Source organism: Homo sapiens, chromosome 15 (genome assembly GCF_000001405.40).
Source record: "Homo sapiens chromosome 15, GRCh38.p14 Primary Assembly".
NCBI classification, from domain to species: Eukaryota; Metazoa; Chordata; class Mammalia; order Primates; family Hominidae; genus Homo; species Homo sapiens.
In genome coordinates, this window is record NC_000015.10 from 72,414,647 (window position 1) to 72,436,762 (window position 22,116).

Genomic DNA, 22,116 nt, shown 5'->3' on the forward strand with positions numbered 1-22,116 from the left:
CTGCCTCCCGGGTTCAAGTGATTCTCCTGCCTCAGCCTCCTGAGTAGCTGGGATTACAGGCACTCACCATCACACTTGGCTAATTTTTGTATTTTTAGTAGAGACGGGGTTTCACCATGTTGGCCAGGCTGGTCTTGAACCCCTGACCTCAAGTGATCCACCTGCCTCGGCCTCCCAAAGTGCTGGGATTACAGGCCTGAGCCACCACACCGCACCATCTTTACTACTCTTTGTTTTATGTTTTTCTGTGTTAAGTCTCCCATGATGGCTTCACGTTTTAAATTTTTTCCTTGTAATACTATCAATATCTGCTTAATATTTTGAATCTATAAGATGGTAAATATCCAAATTAACCTGTGGATTCAATGCAATTCACAACAAAAATCTCACAGATTTTTTTTTCTGTGGAAAATGAACAAGAGTCAGGTACCCAAATTCAGGACAGCTCATTCTGTCCTTTTTGCAAAGGGCCCAAAAGGGCCAAGATAATTGTGAAAAATAAAAGGATGGAGACATTTACATTACCTGATGTGAAGATGACTTATCAAATTATTGTAATTAAGACTGTGGAAGTCAGGTGCAGTGGCTCACACCTATAATCCCAACTACTTGGGAGATTGAGGTGGGAGGATCGCTTGAGGACAGGAGTTCAAAACAAGCCTGAACAACACAGTGACACCCTGTTTCTCCCTCCTTCTCAAAAAGAAAAAAAAATAGATAATGTGGTATTGGCACATGATTACATAAACAGAACAGAATAGAAAGCCTAGAAATACAGAAGAAACATTAAAAAAAAAAAAACAGAATGAGGGAACTATGGACTGTCCACCTAATGGGGCTGATGTAACTGGTTAAATACGGAAAAAAACATAAAACTACATCCCTGCTTTGTGATCTTTTTGTTTTTAAGTTCCAAAAGATCAAAGGCCTATATGTGAAAAGCAAACTTTAGGGACCTTCACTGGCCGATCCAGAGGAAATCTAAGCATCAAAAAGAGTAATGAAAGTACTAGATTATTACACTTTGAATTTTTTTAAAAATCCATGAGTCCTAGGAAAAATCAATATCGTGAAAATGGCCATACTGCCCAAGGCAATTTATAGATTCAATGCCATCCCCATCAAGCTACTAATGACTTTCTTCACAGAATTGGAAAAAACTACTTTAAAGTTCATATGGAACCAAAAAAGAGCCCGCATTGCCAAGACAATCCTAAGCCAAAAGGACAAAGATGGAGGCATCATGCTACCTGACTTCAAACTACATTACAAGGCTACAGTAACCAAAACAGCATGGTACTGGTACCAAAACAGAGATATAGACCAATGGAACAGAACAGAGCCCTCAGAAATAATGCCACACATCTACAACCATCTAATCTTTGACAAACCTGACAAAAACAAGAAATGGGGAAAAGATTCCCTATTTAATAAATGGTGCTGGGAAAACTGACTAGCCATATGTAGAAAGCTGAAACTGGATCCCTTCCTTACACCTTATACAAAAATTAATTCAAGATGGATTAAAGACTTAAATGTTAGCCCTAAACCCATAAAAACCCTAGAAGAAAACCTAGGCAATACCATTCAGGACATAGGCATGGGCAAGGGCTTCATGTCTAAAACACCAAAAGCAATGGCAACAAAAGCCAAAATTGACAAATGGGATCTAATTAAACTAAGGAGCTTCTGCACAGCAAAAGAAACTACCATCAGAATGAACAGGGAACCTACAGAATGGGAGAAAATTTTTGCAATCTACCCATCTGACAAAGGGCTAATATCCAGAATCCGCAAAGAACTTAAACAAATTTACAAGAAAAAATCAAACAACCCCATCAAAAAGTGGGCGAAGGATATGAACAGACACGTCTCAAAAGAAGACATTTATGCAGCCAACAGACACATGAAAAAATGCTCATCATCACTGGCCATCAGAGAAATGCAAATCAAAACCACAATGAGATACCATCTCACACCAGTTAGAATGGTGATCATTAAAAAGTCAGGAAACAACAGGTGCTGGAGAGGATGTGGAGAAATAGGAACACTTTTACACTGTTGGTGGGACTATAAACTAGTTCAACCATTGTGGAAGACAGTGTGGCGATTCCTCAAGGATCTAGAACTAGAAATACCATTTGACCCAGCCATCCCATTACTGGGTATATACCCAAAGGAGTATAAATCATGCTGCTATAAAGACACATGCACACGTATGTTTATTGTGGCACTACTGACAATAGCGAAGACTTGGAACCAACCCAAAAGTCCAACAATGATAGAATGGATTAAGAAAATGTGGCACATATACACCATAGAACACTATGCAGCCATAAAAAATGATGAGTTCATGTCCTTTGTAGGGACATGGATGAAGCTGGAAACCATCATTCTCGGCAAACTATCGCAAGGACAGAAAACCAAACACCGCATGTTCTCACTCACAGGTGGGAATTGAACAATGAGAACACTTGGACACAGGAAGGGGAACATCACACACCGGGGCCTGTCGTGGGGTGGGGAGGGATAGCATTAGGAGATATACCTAATGTAAATGACGAGTTAATGGGTGCAGCACACCAACATGGCACATGTATACATATGTAACAAACCTGCACGTTGTGCACATGTACCCTAGAACTTAAAGTATAATAATAATAAGAAAATAGCAAAAAGACACCATGACACACGTAGCCTCTCCTGTCCCAATAAAGTATATACTCTGGGAAAAAAAAAATCCATCAGTCCATAGTGACATTCAACAAAAGACAGAGTCAGTGAAAAAGGAAAAAAGTAGAGGTAGCTTTTTTTTTGTATAGAAGAATGTCAGCTAATAAATATAGAAGGAATGATAGAAGTTGAAAATCATTATTTTATAATCTGCAACATAATTAAGGCAAGGATCACCGATAGGTCATCATTAAATGGTTATTTGGAAACAGGATATCAAATTATCACTCCACTAAATATTTATTAGTTCCAAAGGGGAAATGTATCTTTACAATGCAAATATTTGGCAATCACAATCTTAACTAAGTGGTCACCATGTGCGGTTTTTTTTTGAGACAGGGTCTCGCTCTGTTGCCCAGGCTGGTGTGCAGTGGTGTAATCATAGCTCACTGTAGCCTTGAACTCCTGGCCTCAAGTCATCCTCCTGCCTTGGCCTGCCAAAATACTGGGATTGCAGGTGTGCACAACCACACCCAGCCCATCATGTGCCTTTAGATATGATACAGTAGGAGGTATACACCATCACTTGTGTGGTGTTTTGTTAGAAATGTCTGCCCGAAATCTAACGATAAATAGTCAAACAAAAATCCAGAATATGGGACAGTCTATGAGATAACTGGCCACTATGTAAGGATTTAATATTATGAAGAGCAGAAGGAGGTAATAGTATTGTTTAAACTGGAGGAGACTATAGGCATATAACAGTCAGATGAAATCCATTGAATCTGGACTTTTAAAAAATGTATAAACTGGGCCGGGTGTGGTGGCTCATGCCTGTAATCCCAGCACTTTGGGAGGCCAAGGTGGGTGGATCAGGAGGTTAGCAGTTCAAGACCAGCCTGACCAACATGGTGAAACCCTGTCTCTACTAAAAATACAAAAAAATTAGCTGAGCATGGTGGCGGGAGGCTGTAATCCCAGCAACTTGGGAGGCTGAGGCAGGAGACTTGCTTGAAACCAGAAGATGGAGGTTGCTGTGAGCCAAGATTGCACGACTGCACTCTAGCCTGGGCAATAAGAGCAAAACTCCATCTCAAAAAAAAAAAAAAAAAAGCATAAACCTTTTTCTTTGACAATTTAGGAAATTTGAGTATGAAAAGAATGTTGGAAGTTGTGTTGAATTAACGATTTTTTCCCTCAGGTGTGGTAATGATGCTGTGGATATGTAGGAGAATGTCATTGTTTCCTGGAAAATATGCTGAAATATTTATCTTTTTTTTTTTTTTTGAGACACTGTGTCACTCTGTCGTCCAGGTTGGAATGCAGTGGCGTGAGCTTGGCTCACTGCAACTTCTGCTTCCTGGGTTCAAGCGATTCTTTCGCCTCAGACTCCCGAGGAGCTGGAATTACAGGCATGCACCACCATACCAACTAATTTTTGTATTTTTAGTAGAGATGTGGTTTCACCATGTTGGCCAGGCTGGTGTCGAACTCTTGACTTCAAGTGATCTGCCCACCTCAGCCTCCCAAAGTGCTGGGAATTACAGGTGTGAGCCACTGCGCCCAGCCGAGATAAGCTGAAATATTTAGAGGTAAAATATCACAATGCCTACACTCACTTTCAGATGTTTTGTCAAAAAGGAAAAAAATACACATAGAGACAGAGAGATAGAGAGAGCAAATGTGTCAAGATGTTAATAGTTGATAAATATAGGTGAGAGGTATAACAGTATTCATTTTAGTATTCAACTTTTCTCTGGGTTTGAAATTCTGCAAAATAAACAAGAATATTTTTGAAGGTAAAAAATTAGAGAATAATAATAAAAGTTTTATGAATTTAGGTGTTCTTAAGAGAAACAACATTTACAAACCACAACAAAAAGTCTTGATACATTTTACTGTTTTAAAACTAAAACTTTGGCTGGATGTCGTGGCTCACGCCTGTAATCCCAACACTTTGGGAGGCCCAGGCGGGTGGATCACCTGAGGTCAGGAGTTCGAGACCAGCCTGACCAATATGGTGAAACCCTGTCTCTACTAAAAATACAAAAATTAGCTGGGCGTGGTGGTGCGTTTCTGTAGTCCCAGCTACTCGGGAGGCTGAGACAGGAGAATTGCTTGAACCCAGGAGGCGAAGGTTGCAGTGAGCCGGGATTATGCCACTGCACTCCAACCTGGGCAACAGAGAGAGACTCTATCAAAACAAAACAAAGAAACAAAATAAAACAAAACACAAAAACCTAAAACTTCTATACTACAAGATATAACATAAAGCAGTCAAAGAGATAAGCTGGCTTGTAAGTAGATATTTACTATATATAACAAACAAAGGATCAGTATCTAGAATATACAAATAAACTCTATGCAAAGAAAAAGGAGGGATGGGGCCAAATTACCCAATAGAAAAATTGGTGAAGGGGTCAGGCACGGTGGCTCATGCCTGTAATCGAGGCAGTTTGGGAGGCCAAGGCAGGAGGATTGCTTGAGCCCAGGAATGTGAGACCAGCCTGGAAAACATATTGAGAACTCGTCTCTACAAAAAGTAAAAAAAAAAAAAAAAAAAAAAATTAGCTGGATGTGTTGGTACGTGCCTGTAGTCTCAGCTACGCAGGAGGCCAAGGTGGGAGGATTGCTTGAGCCCAGGAGGTCAAGGCTGCAGTGAGCTATGATCACACCACTGCACTCCAGCCTGGGCAACACAGTGAGACCACAGCTCTAAAAAAAAAAAAAGAGAGAGAGAGAGAGAGAGAAAAGAAAGTTTGGCAAAGGATCTGCATAATTAATTTACAAAAGGAAATCCAAATGGCTAATAACACAAGAAAGATGTTTGTTCAATTTTACTAGTAATTAGGGAAATAAAAAACAAAACACTAACAATAAAATGTTTAATAAAATTATAATACATATTATGAGATTATTAATATAACGTTATAGTAAAATGTGTAAATACATAATAAAATTATTATTACATTTAAAAGGCTCACATTATCAGACTTTTTTTCTTCCCTTATCTTCTGATAAAATAGGAATTTGTATACACTGCTGGTGGGAGTACAAACTGGTTAAAAAACATTTTAGGTAGGGCACAGTGGCTCATGCCTGTAATCACAGCACTTTGGGAGGCTGAGGCAGGAGGGTCACTTGAGTTTAGGAGTTCAAGACCAGCCTGGGCAACATAATGAGACCTCATCTCTACGAAAAAGAAAAAAGTTAGCCAGCCACAGTGGTGCACACCTGTATTCCCAGCTATCTTGGGAGGCTGAAGCAGGTGGATTGCTTGAGCCCAAGAGTTGGATCACTCCACTGTCCTCCAGCCTGGGTAACAGAGTAAGACGTTGTCTCAAAAAAAAAATTTTAGAAATTAATTTCTTAATACTTAGTAATCTAGGAGCTTCAGATATCTTAGGACTCAGCAATTATATCTCTAGACAGTTTCATTTCCTGCTGTTCTCCCTCTTCCTCATTCTGCTTCAGCCACATTGGCTTCCTTGTGGTTCCTTGATCCTTTCAAGCAAGTGCCCATCTTGGCACTTTTTCATTCACTGTTCTCTCCATTATCTTGATTCTTTACTTCAGGACTCAGCTTTAGTGTCACCTTTTCCGAAAAGCCTTTCCTGACCCACCCTATCTTAAAGATTACTCATTCTCTATGCCCACAACTTGCTTTATGTATTTGATATACCTTAGTTTACTTTCTTTCTCCCACCCTTCCTGATGGTAGATTGGATAATTGTTTTTCAGTTAATAAAATTTTTTTTTTAATTGAGATGGTGTCTCGCTTTTTTGCCCAGGCTGGTCTTGAACTCCTGAGCTCAAGCAGTCGTCCCACCTTGGCTTACCAAAATGCTGGGATTACAGGCATGAGCCACAGCACCTGGCCCATTGTTCTCAATTCTTTACTGCCCCATCCCAATATTAGAATTATCCAGCCATGCCTATCACCACGTGACTTTGCAAAGCCTCCCACTGTAGTTGATGGAATATATTTCTCTGCTCCCTTGATGTTAGTCATATCATGGCATGGTTTGGCTAATGGAATGTAAGCAGAAGTGACCATGACAATCCTGAGTTGAGACCTTAAAAGGCATTATGTATTTCTACTCACCTCTCTTGTACTTCTGTCCCCCACTGTGGGAAGAATGTATCTCAGGCAGGCAACTTGTTCTAGAATGATGAAGACATGTGAAGCAGATGTAAACCTGACCTGAAGATTGGAGTCCAGCCTAGCCCAGCCAAACATAGACAAGCCCAGCCAAGATCAGCCAAACTTTGATCTGCAGACCTGTGAGTGAGGAAAAAAAAAAGTCTGTTATTGTATGTCACTGAGAACATTCGAAGTATTTATTGTGCAGCATTGTTGCAGCAATGCAGCTGACTAATATATACCCCTCTGGAATGTAAACTTCAGGACAGCAAGGCTTTTACAGTTTTGTTCACTGGTATGTGCTCAGTGAGTAGAACAGTGTCTAGTATGCATAGGTGTTTAATAAATATTTGTTGAGTTAATTAATGCATTTGTGCTAAAGCCATAAAACTACTCATAATCCCAAAGGGCAAGGTAAATGTTCAAGTGTGCAAAGAAACAGATATAATTGGCTCTGTTATAAATATAGTCAGTCAGAAGCTGGCACCAATGTATAGTGAATGAACCCTGCAATCAAATCAACAAGCAGCTTAAACTGGCAATAGATACATATGAAACTAAAGAATAGTTGATAAGAGGATCAGAAATAGAAGGTCCCAGTAGAATTTCAATAAAATAGATATTTACTCAAATATTACCATCACCTCTGAATTGGAGACTATTTTCAAAAATAGATGGGGCATCAGCTAAGTGTTCCAAAGAATAAATGAAATGGGCTATAGTCATCCATGAGCTGGCTGGTGGCAAAAATAGAAGTCAAGGAGGCCTTATAAAACAGCCCAATGTATATAGATAAATCAAGAGAGCAAATGTTAAAGTATATAGGGAAAAAGTGAGTTTAGGTGTTTTTGAACTATTATAACTTTTCTTTAAGTACGAAATTTTTCCTAATTTTTTGTAACAAGTAAGAAATGGTGGCTGGGCGCAGGTGGCTCATGCCTGTAATCCCAGCACTTTGGAAGGCCGAGATGGGTGAATCACCTGAGGTCAGGAGTTTGAGATCAGCCTGGCCAACATGCCAAAACCCCGTCTCTACTGAAAATACAAAAATTAGCCAGGCATGGTGGCACATGCCTGTAATTCCAGCTATTCCAGAGGCTGAGACAGGAGAATCGCTTGAATCCAGGAGGCAGAGGTTGCAGTGAACTGAGATCATGCCGGTGCACTCCAGCCTGGGCGACAGAGCAAGACTCAGTCTCAAAAAAAAAAAAAAAAAAAAAAAGAAAAGAAAAGAAAAGAAAAGGTTTGTTCCAGTATTTCCAGAAATAAACCAAATATGACTAATCCTGAACATGACAACTTTTGTGGTCTTGAATGACTTAAGTAGCAATTGTCTAGTTTTTGTGTGGGACAATGGAACATATATTGCCAGAATGACCATAGGCAGATTGCTTCCTACCGGAATGACCTTCTCTTGTCTGCTGTTTGTTCTTTACACTGTCCTTTGACTTAACTGGAGGTATGTTGAGGAACTATCATACTGTTTCTCTTGGAACTTTATTACCTCCCTTAGGTGTTGTGATTAAGAACCACAACAGTTTTGAGCAAGTAGTAGATTCTGCCTCTTTAGCTGGGTGTCCAATGTTCAGAACAATCCTAGACAAAGATTCAAGTACATGTATGTTGTTTGAAAGGTACAAATGGAATGCTGTGGGGAGCTGATGCCCCAACTAGCATCATCAACAGTTCCTCCTTTTCATATTTTGATCTCCACCTCAAGATGTAAAGCTGAACATAAGGTGGGAAAGAGAAGAGGGGAAGTGAGGAAGTGAAAAAGGGAAGAGAAGGGAACCAATAAAGGATGCATTATCAAGCTTGCTTCCACTATGGTCAATAAGAGCTTAATCCTGCAGAGATAATGGAAGCAACATAAAATCCATGCTTCAGAGTTATACCTCCCACACACAGGGGCAGGGATCTGGTTGAGGACTACTCAGAGCCAGATATTAATTCCTTAGAACATCTGGGCCAGCTTAGGGAGAGAATCCTTCCCTGGCTCCAGCAAAAGTCTTTAGGAAAACAGATGCAGATGTTGGCTACTGGAAGTCTGCCAGAAAACACACAAGCGTTAAGGCCCACAGGATACAGGTAGAGCACTGAAATCATCTACTACTAGGTCTGAGAAGGTCCACAGGACACACACTAGTGATCAAAGGAACTAATTAGCACTACGGCCCAGAAAGACAACTCAAATTAAAGATGTTATATCGTTCTCCTCTTGACAAATAGACATCATCTACCTTAGTTGAAACTAGAATGCTACTTCTTAGGACATTGACATTCCATCTGTAACTACTTTATACATGAAGATTCATCCTGTTTTCTACCACATTATACAATACCTGGCCCCAAATACTCCTTTTTCTCATATTGTATTCAGTCCTGTTATTCTGAGATGAAGAAGAAGAGTGTGAAATGGGAGAAAGTATTGATGCCAGCTGGATGTGGTGGCTCACGCCTGTAATCCCAGCACTTTCAGAGGCTGAGGCGGGCAGATCACTTGAGGCCAGGAGTTGGAGACCAGCCTGGCCAATATGGTGAAGCCCCATCTCTACTAAAAATACAAAAGTTAGCCAGGTGTGGTGGCGCATACCTGTAATCCCAGCTACTTGGGAGGCTGAGATGGGAGAATCGCTTGAACCTGGGAGGTGAAGACTTCAGTGAGCCAAGATTGCGCCACTGCACTCCAGCCTGGATGACAGAGCGAGACCCCGTCTCAAAAAAGAGAAAGTACTGATGCCATTTGGGGCATTAAGTTCAGCTTCTATCAATGATATACTGGGAAAGAGATGAGCCAGAAAAATGAGAAACTGCCTCCTACCTGAATAATCACTAAGAAAATCATACCAGGCAAGTCTAGGAAAACTTCGCTACTTCATATGAGGAGGAGGGAGCTGGTCTCATTCTTGGACCATTGATACAGATCTACCAATCTATATACAATGTTGACATCATGTTTACCACTCAGAAATTGGCCCTGGCTTGTTTTATTTTGATCTCATTTCCTTTTCATTCATTAATTTAACAAATATTTCTTGAGTGCTTACAATGGATCTGAGATAAAAAGACAGACTCATGCTGTTTTCTGGAGCTTGTAATTTAGTGGAGAAGCAGATTATGCCACAAATAATTACTTAGTTACAATTGTGTTAAATGCTAAGAAGGACAAGTATAGAATACTATGAGTGTGTAATACAGAGATTACTCAATCCATGCTGAAGTGTAATGTCAAGGAAGACTTCACTAAGGAAGATTTAATCTAAGATTTGCAGAGTAGAGTTTGGCCAGGAGAAGGAGCAGCTGAAGAACAGCATTTGCAAGAAGGAGTTTAGGATGTTCCTGATACTAAAAGAAAGCCAGCGTGGCTTGAGAGCAGTAGTCACAGAAAAGAGTGGCAAAGATGAGGCTGGAAGGATGTGAAGAGCAGACAAGGACAAGATTTTGGAGGATTAGGGTGACAGAAGATAACATCAATTTTTGCTATTCTACATTTTTGCCAACATTTGTTGTTGTTAATCCTTTTAAATTTAGCCTTCCTAGTGAATATAAAATGGCACCTCATTATGTTTTAATTTGCATTTCCCTGGTGTTTAACGATTTTGAGTACCTTTTCCACACCCATTCGTATAACTTCCTTTGTGTCTTTAATTTGTCCTCTTATTTTTAAAATTAGGTTATATTTTATTATTAATTGTAGGAGTTCTTTATGTATTGTGGATACAAGTTCTTTGTCAGATATGTTTTGCAAATCTTTTCTCCCAGCTTGTGGCTTGCCTACTCATTTTCTTAATAGTGTCTTTTAATGACCAGAAGTTTTAAAAATTATATTAACCATATCAGTTTCCAGTTACATGCATTCATCACTATAGATCTGAGTTACTACTTGATGGCACATCTCATCAGACTGAATAACTTCTTTTAACATTTCTTGTGGTGGAGGTCTGCTGGCAATGAATTTTCTGTTCTTATGTGTCTGAGAATGGCTTTATTTCACTTTAATTGTTGAAAGATAATTTTGCTGGATGTAGAATTCTGAGTTGACAATATTTTGTCTTTTGACATTTTAGCGATGTCATTCCATTGTTTTCTAGGCCCCATTATTTCCATCGAGAAGTCAGCTGATATATATATATATATATATATATAATATATTATATATAATATATATATAATATATTATATATAATATATTATATATAATATATATAATATATTATATATAATATATATAATATATTATATATAATATATATAATATATTATATATAATATATATATAATATATATGTATATTTTATATATTATATATGTATTATATATATTATATATATACACATACATACACACACACACACATACACATATAATTGTTCCTCTGTCACATGTGGCTTTCCTCTGGCTGCTTTCAAGACTTTATTTTTGGTTTCAGCAGTTTGATTACAGTGTGCTTAGGTGTGGAGTTTCTTTGTATTCATCCTACTTTGAATTCTTTGAGCTTTTTGGATCTGTATGTCAAAATCTTTTATAAAATTTGATCAGTTTTCAGCCATTACTTTTTCAAGTATTTTTTTCTGCCTCAATCCTACTCATTCTAGGGCTCTTGTTCTACTTCTTGTTGTTATTCAACAGGACTCTGATGCTGTTTGTTTTTCTTCAGTCTTCTTTTCCTCTCCATTCTTCAGATTGGTCCAATTCTATTAACTTATTTCCAAGTTCACTGGCACTTTTTTCCTCACTGCCTCCAACCTGCTGTTGAGAACATACAGTGAATTTTTCATTTCATTTCATTTTTTTAATTATTTTTTTTTACTGCTCCTTGTGGAGCAGGGTTAACCCATAGGCCAATTTTTAAATTTTACTTGTTGTATTTTTCAATTCCAGAATTTCTAGTTTGTTTTATACTTTCTGTATCCATGTTAAGAGGCTGTAACTGTTCATTCATTATTCATTTATCTTCTAAGTTATTATAAAAATGATAATTACTTTTACTCAAGTAAAAGTAATGATAACTTTTACTTGAGTATGGATTATATTTTCCTGTTTCTTCACAGGTTTAGTGATTTTTTTAATTGACTACTGTACATTATGTTTGATACATTGTAACAACCTCTACACTTTTCCATCTTCCTCCGAAGATGAGTTTGCTCTAAAAGACAGTTAACTTGCCTGACCTCATTCTCCAAATGCTGTCTCCTACACAGTAGGCAACAGGTAAAATCTTGCACAGTCCTTTAAGCTTCCAAATGCTGTTTTTCCATAAGGCTCTCCGGAGTCACCCCCATGGATATGTAGTTTAGTCATGAGCCAAGAATGTAGTCTGATTTTATATGCAGGTCTTAAAGCTCATCTCCTCTGCAACCCACTCTTTTTCATGATTTCCCCCTAACTTTCTGGATACTCTACTAGGCTGATATTTTGTTTTTTGACACATCAAGCCAGTAAGCCATGGCTTTCTACTTCCTGAGCTGCATAGAAGCTGGGGAGTTATCTCAGGCAAAAACCCACAAACCCACAAATCTCTGACTTTATAGACACCTTTGAAGGGTAGACTTCCCTCCAGTTTGTGACTATTTTTGGTCACTCTTCAATACCTTCAAAGTATTGCTTGTTGTTGTGTTGGGTTTTATGCACTATTTTCTTTACATTTTCTTTCTTTTTTGCATTTTTAAAAATTGAGATAAACCATATAAAATTTATCATTTGAAAGTGTACAATTCACCAGACTTTCTTGACAATAATTTTTAATAGACTTTATTTTTCAGAGCAGTTTTGGTTCACAGCAAAATTAAGCAGAAGTTATAAAGATTTCCCAAATACCCCCAGTCCACACACATGCATAGCCTCCCCTGTTATCAATAACCCCTAACGGAGTGTACACTTGTTACAACTGATGAACCTACACTAACACATCATTGTCACCCAATGCACATAGTTTACATTTGTGTTCACTCTTGGTGTTGTACATTCTGTAAGTTTGAATAAATTTGTATGACATATATCCACCATTATAGTATCTTACAGAGTAGTTTCACTGCCCTAAACATCTTCTGGTCTCTGCCTAATGATCTCTCCCTCATGGCTAACTACTGTCAACCACTCATCTTTATACTGTCTCCATAGTTTAGCCTTTTCCAGAATGTCATATCATTGGAATCATGCAGCATGAAGCCATTTCAGACTGGCTTCTTTCACTTAGTAATATGCACTTAAGTTTCCTTTGTATCTTATCATGGCTTGATAGCTCATTTCCTTTTAGCACTGAGTAATGTTATTTTGTTTGGATGTATCAGAGTTTATTTATCCATTTGCCTACCGAAGGACATTTTGGTTGGTTCCAAGTTTTGGCAATTATAAATAAGGCTGCTATGTGCAGGATTTTGTGTGGACATAAGTTTTCAACTCAACTGGGCAAATACCAAAGGGCATAATTGCTGAATTATATGGTAATGGTATGGCTGTTGCTATGGGGTTGTTTTGGGGATATATGGGAAATCTCTGTAGCTTCTGCTTAATTTTGCTATGAACCTAAAACTGCTCTAAAGGTTAAAGTCTATTAAAAATGATTGTAAAAAAACCCAACTGAATCATACACTTTTGAATGGTGAATTTTATCTCAAATTTTAATAAATGCAAAACAAAAAAAGAAAGAAAATATAAAGAAAACCGTGCATAAAAACCAAACAACAACCACCACCACCAATTCATTGAAACTACCAAACTTTCTTCCAAAGTGGCTGTACCATTTTCATCCCTACCTGCAATGCATAAGAGTTCCTATTGCTCCACATCCTTGACTGCATTTGGTGTTGACAGTGTTCTGGATTTTGGCTAATGTAATAGGTGTTGTGGTGTTTCATTTTAATTTCCATTTCCCTGATGACATAGGATGTGGAATTTTTTTTTATTATACTTTCAGTTCTAGGGTACATGTGCACAATGTGCAGGTTTGATACATATGTATACATGTGCTATGTTGGCGGGCTGCACCCATTAACTCGTCATTTAACATTAGGTATATCTCCTAATGCTATCCCTCCCCCCCCCGACTCCCCCCACCCCACAACAGGCCCTGGGGTGTGATGTTCCCCTTCCTGTGTCCAAGTGTTCTCATTGTTCAATTCCCACCTATGAGTGAGAACATGCAGTGTTTGGTTTTTGGTCCTTGCGATAGTTTGCTGAGAATGATGGTTTCCAGCTTCATCTATGTCCCTACAAAGGACATGAACTCATCCTTTTTTATGGCTGCACAGCATTCCATGGCGTATATGTGCCACATTTCCTTAATCCAGTCTATCATTGATGGACATCTAGGTTGGTTCCAAGTCTTTGCTATTGTGAACAGTGCTGCAATAAACATACGTGTGCATGTGTCTTTATAGCAGCATGATTTATACTCCTTTGGGTATATACCCAGTAATGGGATGGCTGGGTCAAATGGTATTTCTAGTTCCTGATCCGTGAGGAATCGCCACACTGACTTCCACAATGGTTGAACTAGTTTATAGTCCCACCAACAGTGTAAAAGTGTTCCTATTTCTCCACATCCTCTCCAGCACCTGTTGTTTCCTGACTTTTTAATGATCGCCATTCTAACTGGTGTGAGATGGTATCTCACTGTGGTTTTGATTTGCATTTCTCTGATGGCCAGTGATGATGAGCATTTTTTCATGTGTCTGTTGGCTGCATAAATGTCTTCTTTTGAGAAGTGTCTGTTCATATCCTTTGCCCACTTTTTGATGGGGTTGTTTGTTTTTTTCTTGTAAATTTGTTTGAATTCATTGTAGATTCTGGATATTAGCCCTTTGTCAGATGAGTAGATTGCAAAAATTTTCTCCCATTCTGTAGGTTCCCTGTTCACTCTGATGGCAGTTTCTTTTGCTGTGCAGAAGCTCTTTAGTTTAATTAGATCCCATTTGTCAATTTTGGCTTTTGTTGACATTGCTTTTGGTGTTTTAGACATGAAGTCCTTGCCCATGCCTATGTCCTGAATGGTATTGCCTAGGTTTTCTTCTAGAGTTTTTATGGTTTTAGGTCTAACATTTAAGTCTTTAATCCATCTTGAATTAATTTTTGTATAAGGTGGAAGGAAGGGATCCAGTTTCAGCTTTCTACATATGGCTAGCCAGTTTTCCCAGCACCATTTATTAAATAGGGAATCCTTTCCCCATTTCTTGTTTTTGTCAGATTTGTCAAAGATCAGATAGTTGTAGATATGCGGCATTATTTCTGAGGGCTCTGTTCTGTTCCTTTGGTCTATATCTCTGTTTTGGTACAAGTAGCATGCTGTTTTGGTTACTGTAGCCTTGTAGTGTAGTTCGAAGTCAGGTAGCGTGATGCCTCCAGCTTTGTTCTTTTGGCTTAGGATTGTCTTGGCAATGCGGGCTCTTTTTTGGTTCCATATGAACTTTAAAGTAGTTTTTTCCAATTCTGTGAAGAAAGTCATTGGTAGCTTGATGGGGATGGCATTGAATCTATAAATTACCTTGGGCAGTATGACCATTTTCACGATATTGATTCTTCCTACCCATGAGCATGTTCTTCCATTTGTTTGTCTCGTCTTGTATTTCATTGAGCAGTGGTTTGTAGTTCTCCTTGAAGAGGTCCTTCACATCCCTTGTAAGTTGGATTCCTAGGTATTTTATTCTCTTTGAAACAATTGTGAATGGGAGTTCACTCATGATTTGGCTCTCTGTTTGTCTCTTATTGGTGTATAAGAATGCTTGTGATTTTTGCACATTGATTTTGTATCCTGAGACTTTGCTGAAGTTGCCTATCAGCTTAAGGAGATTTTGGGCTGAGACGATGGGGTTTTCTAGATATACAATCATGTCATCTGCAAACAGGGACAATTTGACTTCCTCTTTTCCTAATTGAATACCCTTTATTTCCTTCTCCTGACTGATTGCCCTGGCCAGAACTTCCAACACTATGTTGAATAGGAGTGGTGAGAGAGGGCATCCCTGTCTTGTGCCAGTTTTCAAAGGGAATGCTTCCAGTTTTTGCCCATTCAGTATGATATTGGCTGTGTGTTTGTCATAGATAGCTCTTATTATTTTGAGATACGTCCCATCAATACCTAATTTATTGAGAGTTTTTAGCATGAAGAGTTGTTGAATTTTGTCAAAGGCCTTTTCTGCATCTATTGAGATAATCATGTGGTTTTTGTCGTTGGTTCTGTTTATATGCTGGATTACATTTATTGATTTGCGTATGTTGAACCAGCCTTGCATCCCAGGGATGAAGTCCACTTGTTCATGGTGGATAAGCTTTTTGATGTGCTGCTGGATTTGGTTTGCCAGTATTTTATTGAGGATTTTTGCATTGATGTTCATCAGGGATATTGGTCTTAAATTCTCTTTTTTTGTTGTGTCTCTGCCAGACTTTGTTATCAGGATGATGCTGCCCTCATAAAATGAGTTAGGGAGGAATCCCTCTTTTACTATTGATTGGAATAGTTTCAGAAGGAATGGTACCAGCTCCTCCTTGTACCTCTGGTAGAATTCAGGTGTGAATCCATCTGGTCCTGGACTTCTTTTGGTTGGTAAGTTATTAATTATTGCCTCAATTTCAGAGCCTGTTATTGATCTATTCAGAGATTCAACTTCTTCCTGGTTTAGTCTTGGGATGGTGTATGTGTTGAGGAATTTATCCATTTCTTCTAGATTTTCTAGTTTATTTGTGTAGAGGTATTTATAGTATTCTCTGATTGTAGTTTGTATTTTTGTGGGATCGGTGGTGATATCCCCTTTATCATTTTTTATTGCATCTATTTGATTCTTCTCTCTTTTCTTCTTTATTAGTCTTGCTAGTGGTCTATCAATTTTGTTGATCCTTTCAAAAAACCAGCTCCTGGATTCATTGATTTTTTGAAGGGTTTTTTGTCTCTATTTCCTTCAGTTCTGCTCTGATCTTAGTTATTTCTTGCCTTCTGCTAGCTTTTGAATGTGTTTGCTCTTGCTTCTCTAGTTCTTTTAAATGTGATGTTAGGGTGTCAATTTTGGATCTTTCCTGCTTTCTCTTGTGGGCATTTAGTGCTATAAATTTCCCTCTACGCACTGCTTTGAATGTGTCCCAGAGATTCTGGTATGTCGTGTCTTTGTTCTCGTTGGTTTCAAAGAACATCTTTATTTCTGTCTTCATTTCGTTATGTACCCAGTAGTCATTCAGGAGCAGGTTGTTCAGTTTCCATGTAGTTGAGCGGTTTTGAGTGAGTTTCTTAATCCTGAGTTTTAGTTTGATTGCACTGTGGTCTGAGAGACAGTTTGTTGTAATTTCTGTTCTTTTACATTTGCTGAGGAGTGCTTTACTTCCAACTATGTGGTCAATTTTGGAATAGGTGTGGTGTGGTGCTGAAAAGAATGTATATTCTGTTGATTTGGGGTGGAGGGTTCTGTAGATGTCTATTAGATCTGCTTGGTGCAGAGCTGAGTTCAATTCCTGGGTATCCTTGTTAACTTTCTGTCTCGTTGATCTGTCTAATGTTGACAGTGGGATGTTAAAGTCTCCCATTATTATTGTGTGGGAGTCTAAGTCTCTTTGTAGGTCTCTAAGGACTTGCTTTATGAATTTTAAAAATATTTTTTAATATATTTTTTGCCGTCTGTGTATCTTCTTTAGTGAGGTGTCTGTTAAGATCTTTGGCCCATTTTTAAATTAGGTTATTTGTTTTTTTATTGTGAAGTTTCAACAATTCTTTGTATATTTTGAATAACAGTCCTTTAGCAGATATATTTTTGCAAGTATTTTCCCCCAGTGTGTGACTTGCTTTTAATATAAATAAATATATATAAACATATATATACATATACGTATATATACACACATACATATATACATGTATACATATATATATTTAAAGACAAGGTCTTGCTCTGTTGCCCTGGCTATAGTAAAGTGGTGCCATCATAACTCACTGCAGCCTTTAACTGCTGGGCGCAAGCGATCCTCCCATCTCAGCCTCTGGAATAGCTGGGACTACAGGTGGGACATGCCACCATGCCTAGCTAATTTGTGTATTTTTGTAGAGATGGGGTTTGGCCATGTTGCTTTTATTCTCTTGACAGTGTCTTTCACAGAGCAGAAAGTTCTAATGAAGTTCAGTTTATCAATTATTTATTTCATAAATCATGCTTTTGGTGTGTCTAAAAAGACATCATCATACCCACAGTCACTTAGATTTTTTTCTATGTTATCTTCTAGGAGTCCTATAGTTTTGCATTTTACATTTAGGTCTGTGGCCAATTTTGAATTAATTTTTGTGAAGGGTATTATGTCTGTATCTAGATTCAATTTTTTTGCATGTGTATGTCCAGTGATTTCAGCACTATTTGTTGAAAAGATTATCTTTGATCCATTATGTTATCTTTGCTTCTTTATCAAACATCAGTTGGCTGTGTTTATGTGGCTCTATTTCTGTGTTCTCTAATCTGTTCCATTGATTTATTTGTTTATTTTTTCACGAATACCACACTGTGTTCATCACTATAGCTTCACAGTAAGTCTTAAAGTCAGCTAGTGTCAGTTTTCTAACTTTGTTCTTCTCCTTCAATGTTGTGTTGGCTATTCTGGGTCTCTTCTCCATGTAAACTTTAGGATAAATTTGTTTACATCTACAATATAACCTGCTTGGATTTTTTTTCCAGTTTTTTTATTGTGGTAAAATATACACAACATAAAATTTGCCATCTTAACCACTTTTAAGTGTACACTTCAGTGTTAAATATCTTCATAATATTGTGCAACCATCACCATCATCCATTGATAACTCTGCATCTTGTAAACTCAAAACTCTATACCCGTTAAACAATAACCCTCCATTCTCCACTTCCCCCAACTCCTAGAAACCACCTTTCTATTTTCTGTCTCTATGATTTTGACTACTGTAAATATCTCATGTAAACAGAATCAAACAGTTTTAGTGAATGGTGCATTTCACTTAGCATACTGTCCTCAAGTTTCATTCATATTATAGCATGTGTCAGAATTTCCTTCCTTTTTAGGAGTGAATTATGTTCCATTGTATGTATATATCATATTTTGCGTATTCACTCATCTGTTGATGGGTACTTGGGTTGCTTCCATGGTTTAGCTATTGTGAATACTGCCACTATGAACAACAGTGTACAAATGCCTCTTCAAGACCCTTCTTTCAATTATTTTGGGTATATACTCAGAAGTGGAATTGCTGGATCATATGGTAATTCTATTTTTAATTTTTTGAGTAACTTCCATACTGATTTAAACAGTGGCTACACCATTTTACATTCCATCAACAGTGTACAAGAGTTCCAATTTCTCCACATCCTTGCCAACATTTTAATATAATAACCGTCATAATGAATATGAAGTTGTATCTTACTGTAGTTTTGATTTGCATTTCCCTAATGACTGAGATGTTGTGCATCTTTTTATGTGCTTGTCAGTCATTTACATATCTTCTTCAGAGGAATGTATACTCAAGTCTTTTGCCCACTTTTGAATTGGGTTGTTAGGATTTCTGATGTTGAGTTCTGTATTGTTTTATTATCTCAAAAGTTTAAATAAGATGGTCTGCTGCTATACTTGTTCTTGCTGTCCACTGTATTAGCACTTTCCCTGATGTGCTTTGGAAGTTGATCCATGAATTTCTTAAACTTTTTGCTGGAATTCCTTTAAAGGGGTCTGATTAGATGGTGAAAAGTAGACTGAGACAACCTTCAAGTGACCATGTCATTGTTTTCTTGCTATGTCTTTGGCTTGATGATTAAGATACAATTCTTTTTAAAACCAAATGGCATTTGTTATTATGTTTCCCAAATTAGGAATCTATTTTAGTTAATATTTTAAAGAAACACAAAGGCATAACAAATACTATCATTGTTTTTACTCCAGAGTGTTAATGAATGTAAAGAGGTTAGAGAGATGTAGTGTTTAATTAATGATGCTTATTTTAACTATATTTAACATGAGTGATTTTTCATTGTCTTTAAAGAGGAATAATGCTTATTGATTAAAGGTGAGAAATTATGGTTAAGACACTGATTCTGTGTCAAGGTCTTTGACTACATTATGCATTGTGCAAATAATTTCATTTTTCATGAATGCCTTAGTTTTCCTACTATAAAATAAAGACAATGATGAATAAAAAAGAAGAAGAAGTTTCTCTACAGATTCTGGATATTAACCCTTTATCAGATATATGACTTGCAAATATAGTCTCCCATTCTGTGGATTGCCCTTTTACTCTATTTATATTGTCATTTGAGGCAGAAAAATTTTAAATTTTCATCAAGTCCAAATTGTCTATTTTTTTATTTTTCTTCCTCTTGTTCTTTGTCTTTTTTTTTATGAGTCAGGGTCTCACTATTTTTCCCAGGCAAGTCTCGAATTCCTGGGCTCAACTGATCCACCTGCCTCGGCCTGTCAAAGTGTTAGGATTACAGGCATGAGCTACTGTGTTCAGCCTCCACTTTTTTGTTGTTGTGTCCTGTGTTTTTGGTGTCATGTCCAAGAAATCCTTGCCAAATCCAACGTTGTGGAACATGTTCCTTACATTTTTCTTCTAAAAAATATTTTATAGTTTTAGGTATTTAATCCATGTTGAGTTAATTTTTGTATACAGTGTTAGATAAGGATCCAACTCCATTCTTTTGCAAGTGGATGTCGAGTTTTTCTAGCACCATTTGTTGAAAAGACCATATATATGAGGGTTTATTTCTGAGCTCTCTATTTTATTTCATGGGCTACATGTCTGTCTTTACGCCAGTAAGTTTTGAAATCAGGACTCGTGAGTCCTCCAGCTTTGTCTGTCTTTTTCAAGATTGTTTTCGCTATTTAAAGTTCCTTGAGATTCCATATGAATTTTAGAATGGGTTTTTCTATTTCTCAAAAAATGTCATTGGGATTTTGATAGGGATTGCATTGAATCTATAGATCACTCTGGACAGTATTGATCTTAACAATATTACATCTTCCAGTCCATGAGCATTTATTTATATCTTCTTTAACTTATTTGAGTAAATTTTGCAGTTTTCATTATACAAATCATTTACCTCCTTGGGTAAGTTATTTCCTAAGTATTTTATTCTTTTTGATGCTATTGTAAATGGAATTGTATTTATAATTTCCTTCTTAGATTCTCCTTCTCCTTCTTCTTCTTCTTTTGAGACAGGGCCTTGGCTCTGTAGCCCAGGCCGGAGAGCTGTGGCATGACCACGGCTCACTGCAGCCACCACCTCCCAGGCTCAAGCAATCCTAACACCTCGGCCTCAAGAGTAGCTGGGACTACAGGCACGCAGTATTTAGCCTAATTTTTTCAATTTTTTTGTAGAGACAGTGTCTCACTAAGTTGCCCAGGCTGGTCTCAAACTCCTGAGCTCAATGACCTTCCACCTCAGCCTCCCAAAGTGATGGGATTACAGGTGTAAGCCACCACACCCAGCTTCCTCATTGTTAATGTATAGAAAGGCACCTGATTTTTTGTGCTGACTTTGTATCCTGCTACTTTGCTGAATTCATTTATTAGCTCTAACAGTTGTGTGTGTAATCCTTAGGGTTTTCTACATATAAAATCATTCATCTGCAAACACAGATAATTTAACTTCTTGCTTTCTGATTTGGAAGCCTTTTATTTCTTTTTCTTGCCTAATTGCTCCAGCTAGAACTTAGTACTATGTTGATAGACGTGGCAAAAGTGGGTAAACTTGTCTTGTACCTGGTCTTGGAGGAAAAGCTTTCAGTTTTTCACCACTGAGTATGGTGTTTGCTGTGGGTTTTTCACACATAGCTTTTATTATGTTGAGGTAATTTCCTTCTATTTCTAGTTTGTTGAGTGTTTTTATCATGAAAGGGTGTTGGAGTTTGTCAAATGCTTTTTCTACATCAGTCAAGATGATCATGTGCTTTTTCCATTCATTCTGTTAATGTGGTGTATTCCATTGATTGATTTTCATATATGGAACCATTGTTGCATTCCAGAAAAAAAAAAACCACATGGCCATGGTGCATATTCCTTTTTTATACGTTACTAAATTCGGTTTGCTGGTATTTTGTTGAGGATTTTATATCAATGCTGATATGGTTCGGATGTGTGTCCTCCTTCAAGTCTCATGCTGAAATGTGATCCCCAATGTTGCAGGTGGGGCCAAGCACTATTCCCTTGGTGATGAGTGAGTTCTCACTCAGTTAGTTTACATGAGAGCTGGTTGTTTATTTTTTTGTTTATTTAATTTTTTTACTCAGATCATTTCTTCTCCAGAATTTTTCATTTGGTCGTTTAAAGAATCCTGGCTCCTCCTCCTCTCTCACTCCCTCTCTCACCA

The 22,116-nt window shown here is 37.7% G+C and overlaps 1 long non-coding RNA gene across 1 annotated transcript in view; it reads right to left on the bottom strand.

Moving 5' to 3' along the window:
- TMEM202-AS1 (TMEM202 antisense RNA 1) overlaps positions 1–22,116 on the bottom strand; it is a 66,461-nt gene that overhangs the window by 6,868 nt on the left and 37,477 nt on the right. Inside the window, exon 2 of the long non-coding RNA NR_135678.1 lies at positions 6,779–6,955. This is a non-coding gene — a long non-coding RNA (TMEM202 antisense RNA 1). The remainder of the gene's footprint in view (positions 1–6,778; positions 6,956–22,116) is intronic.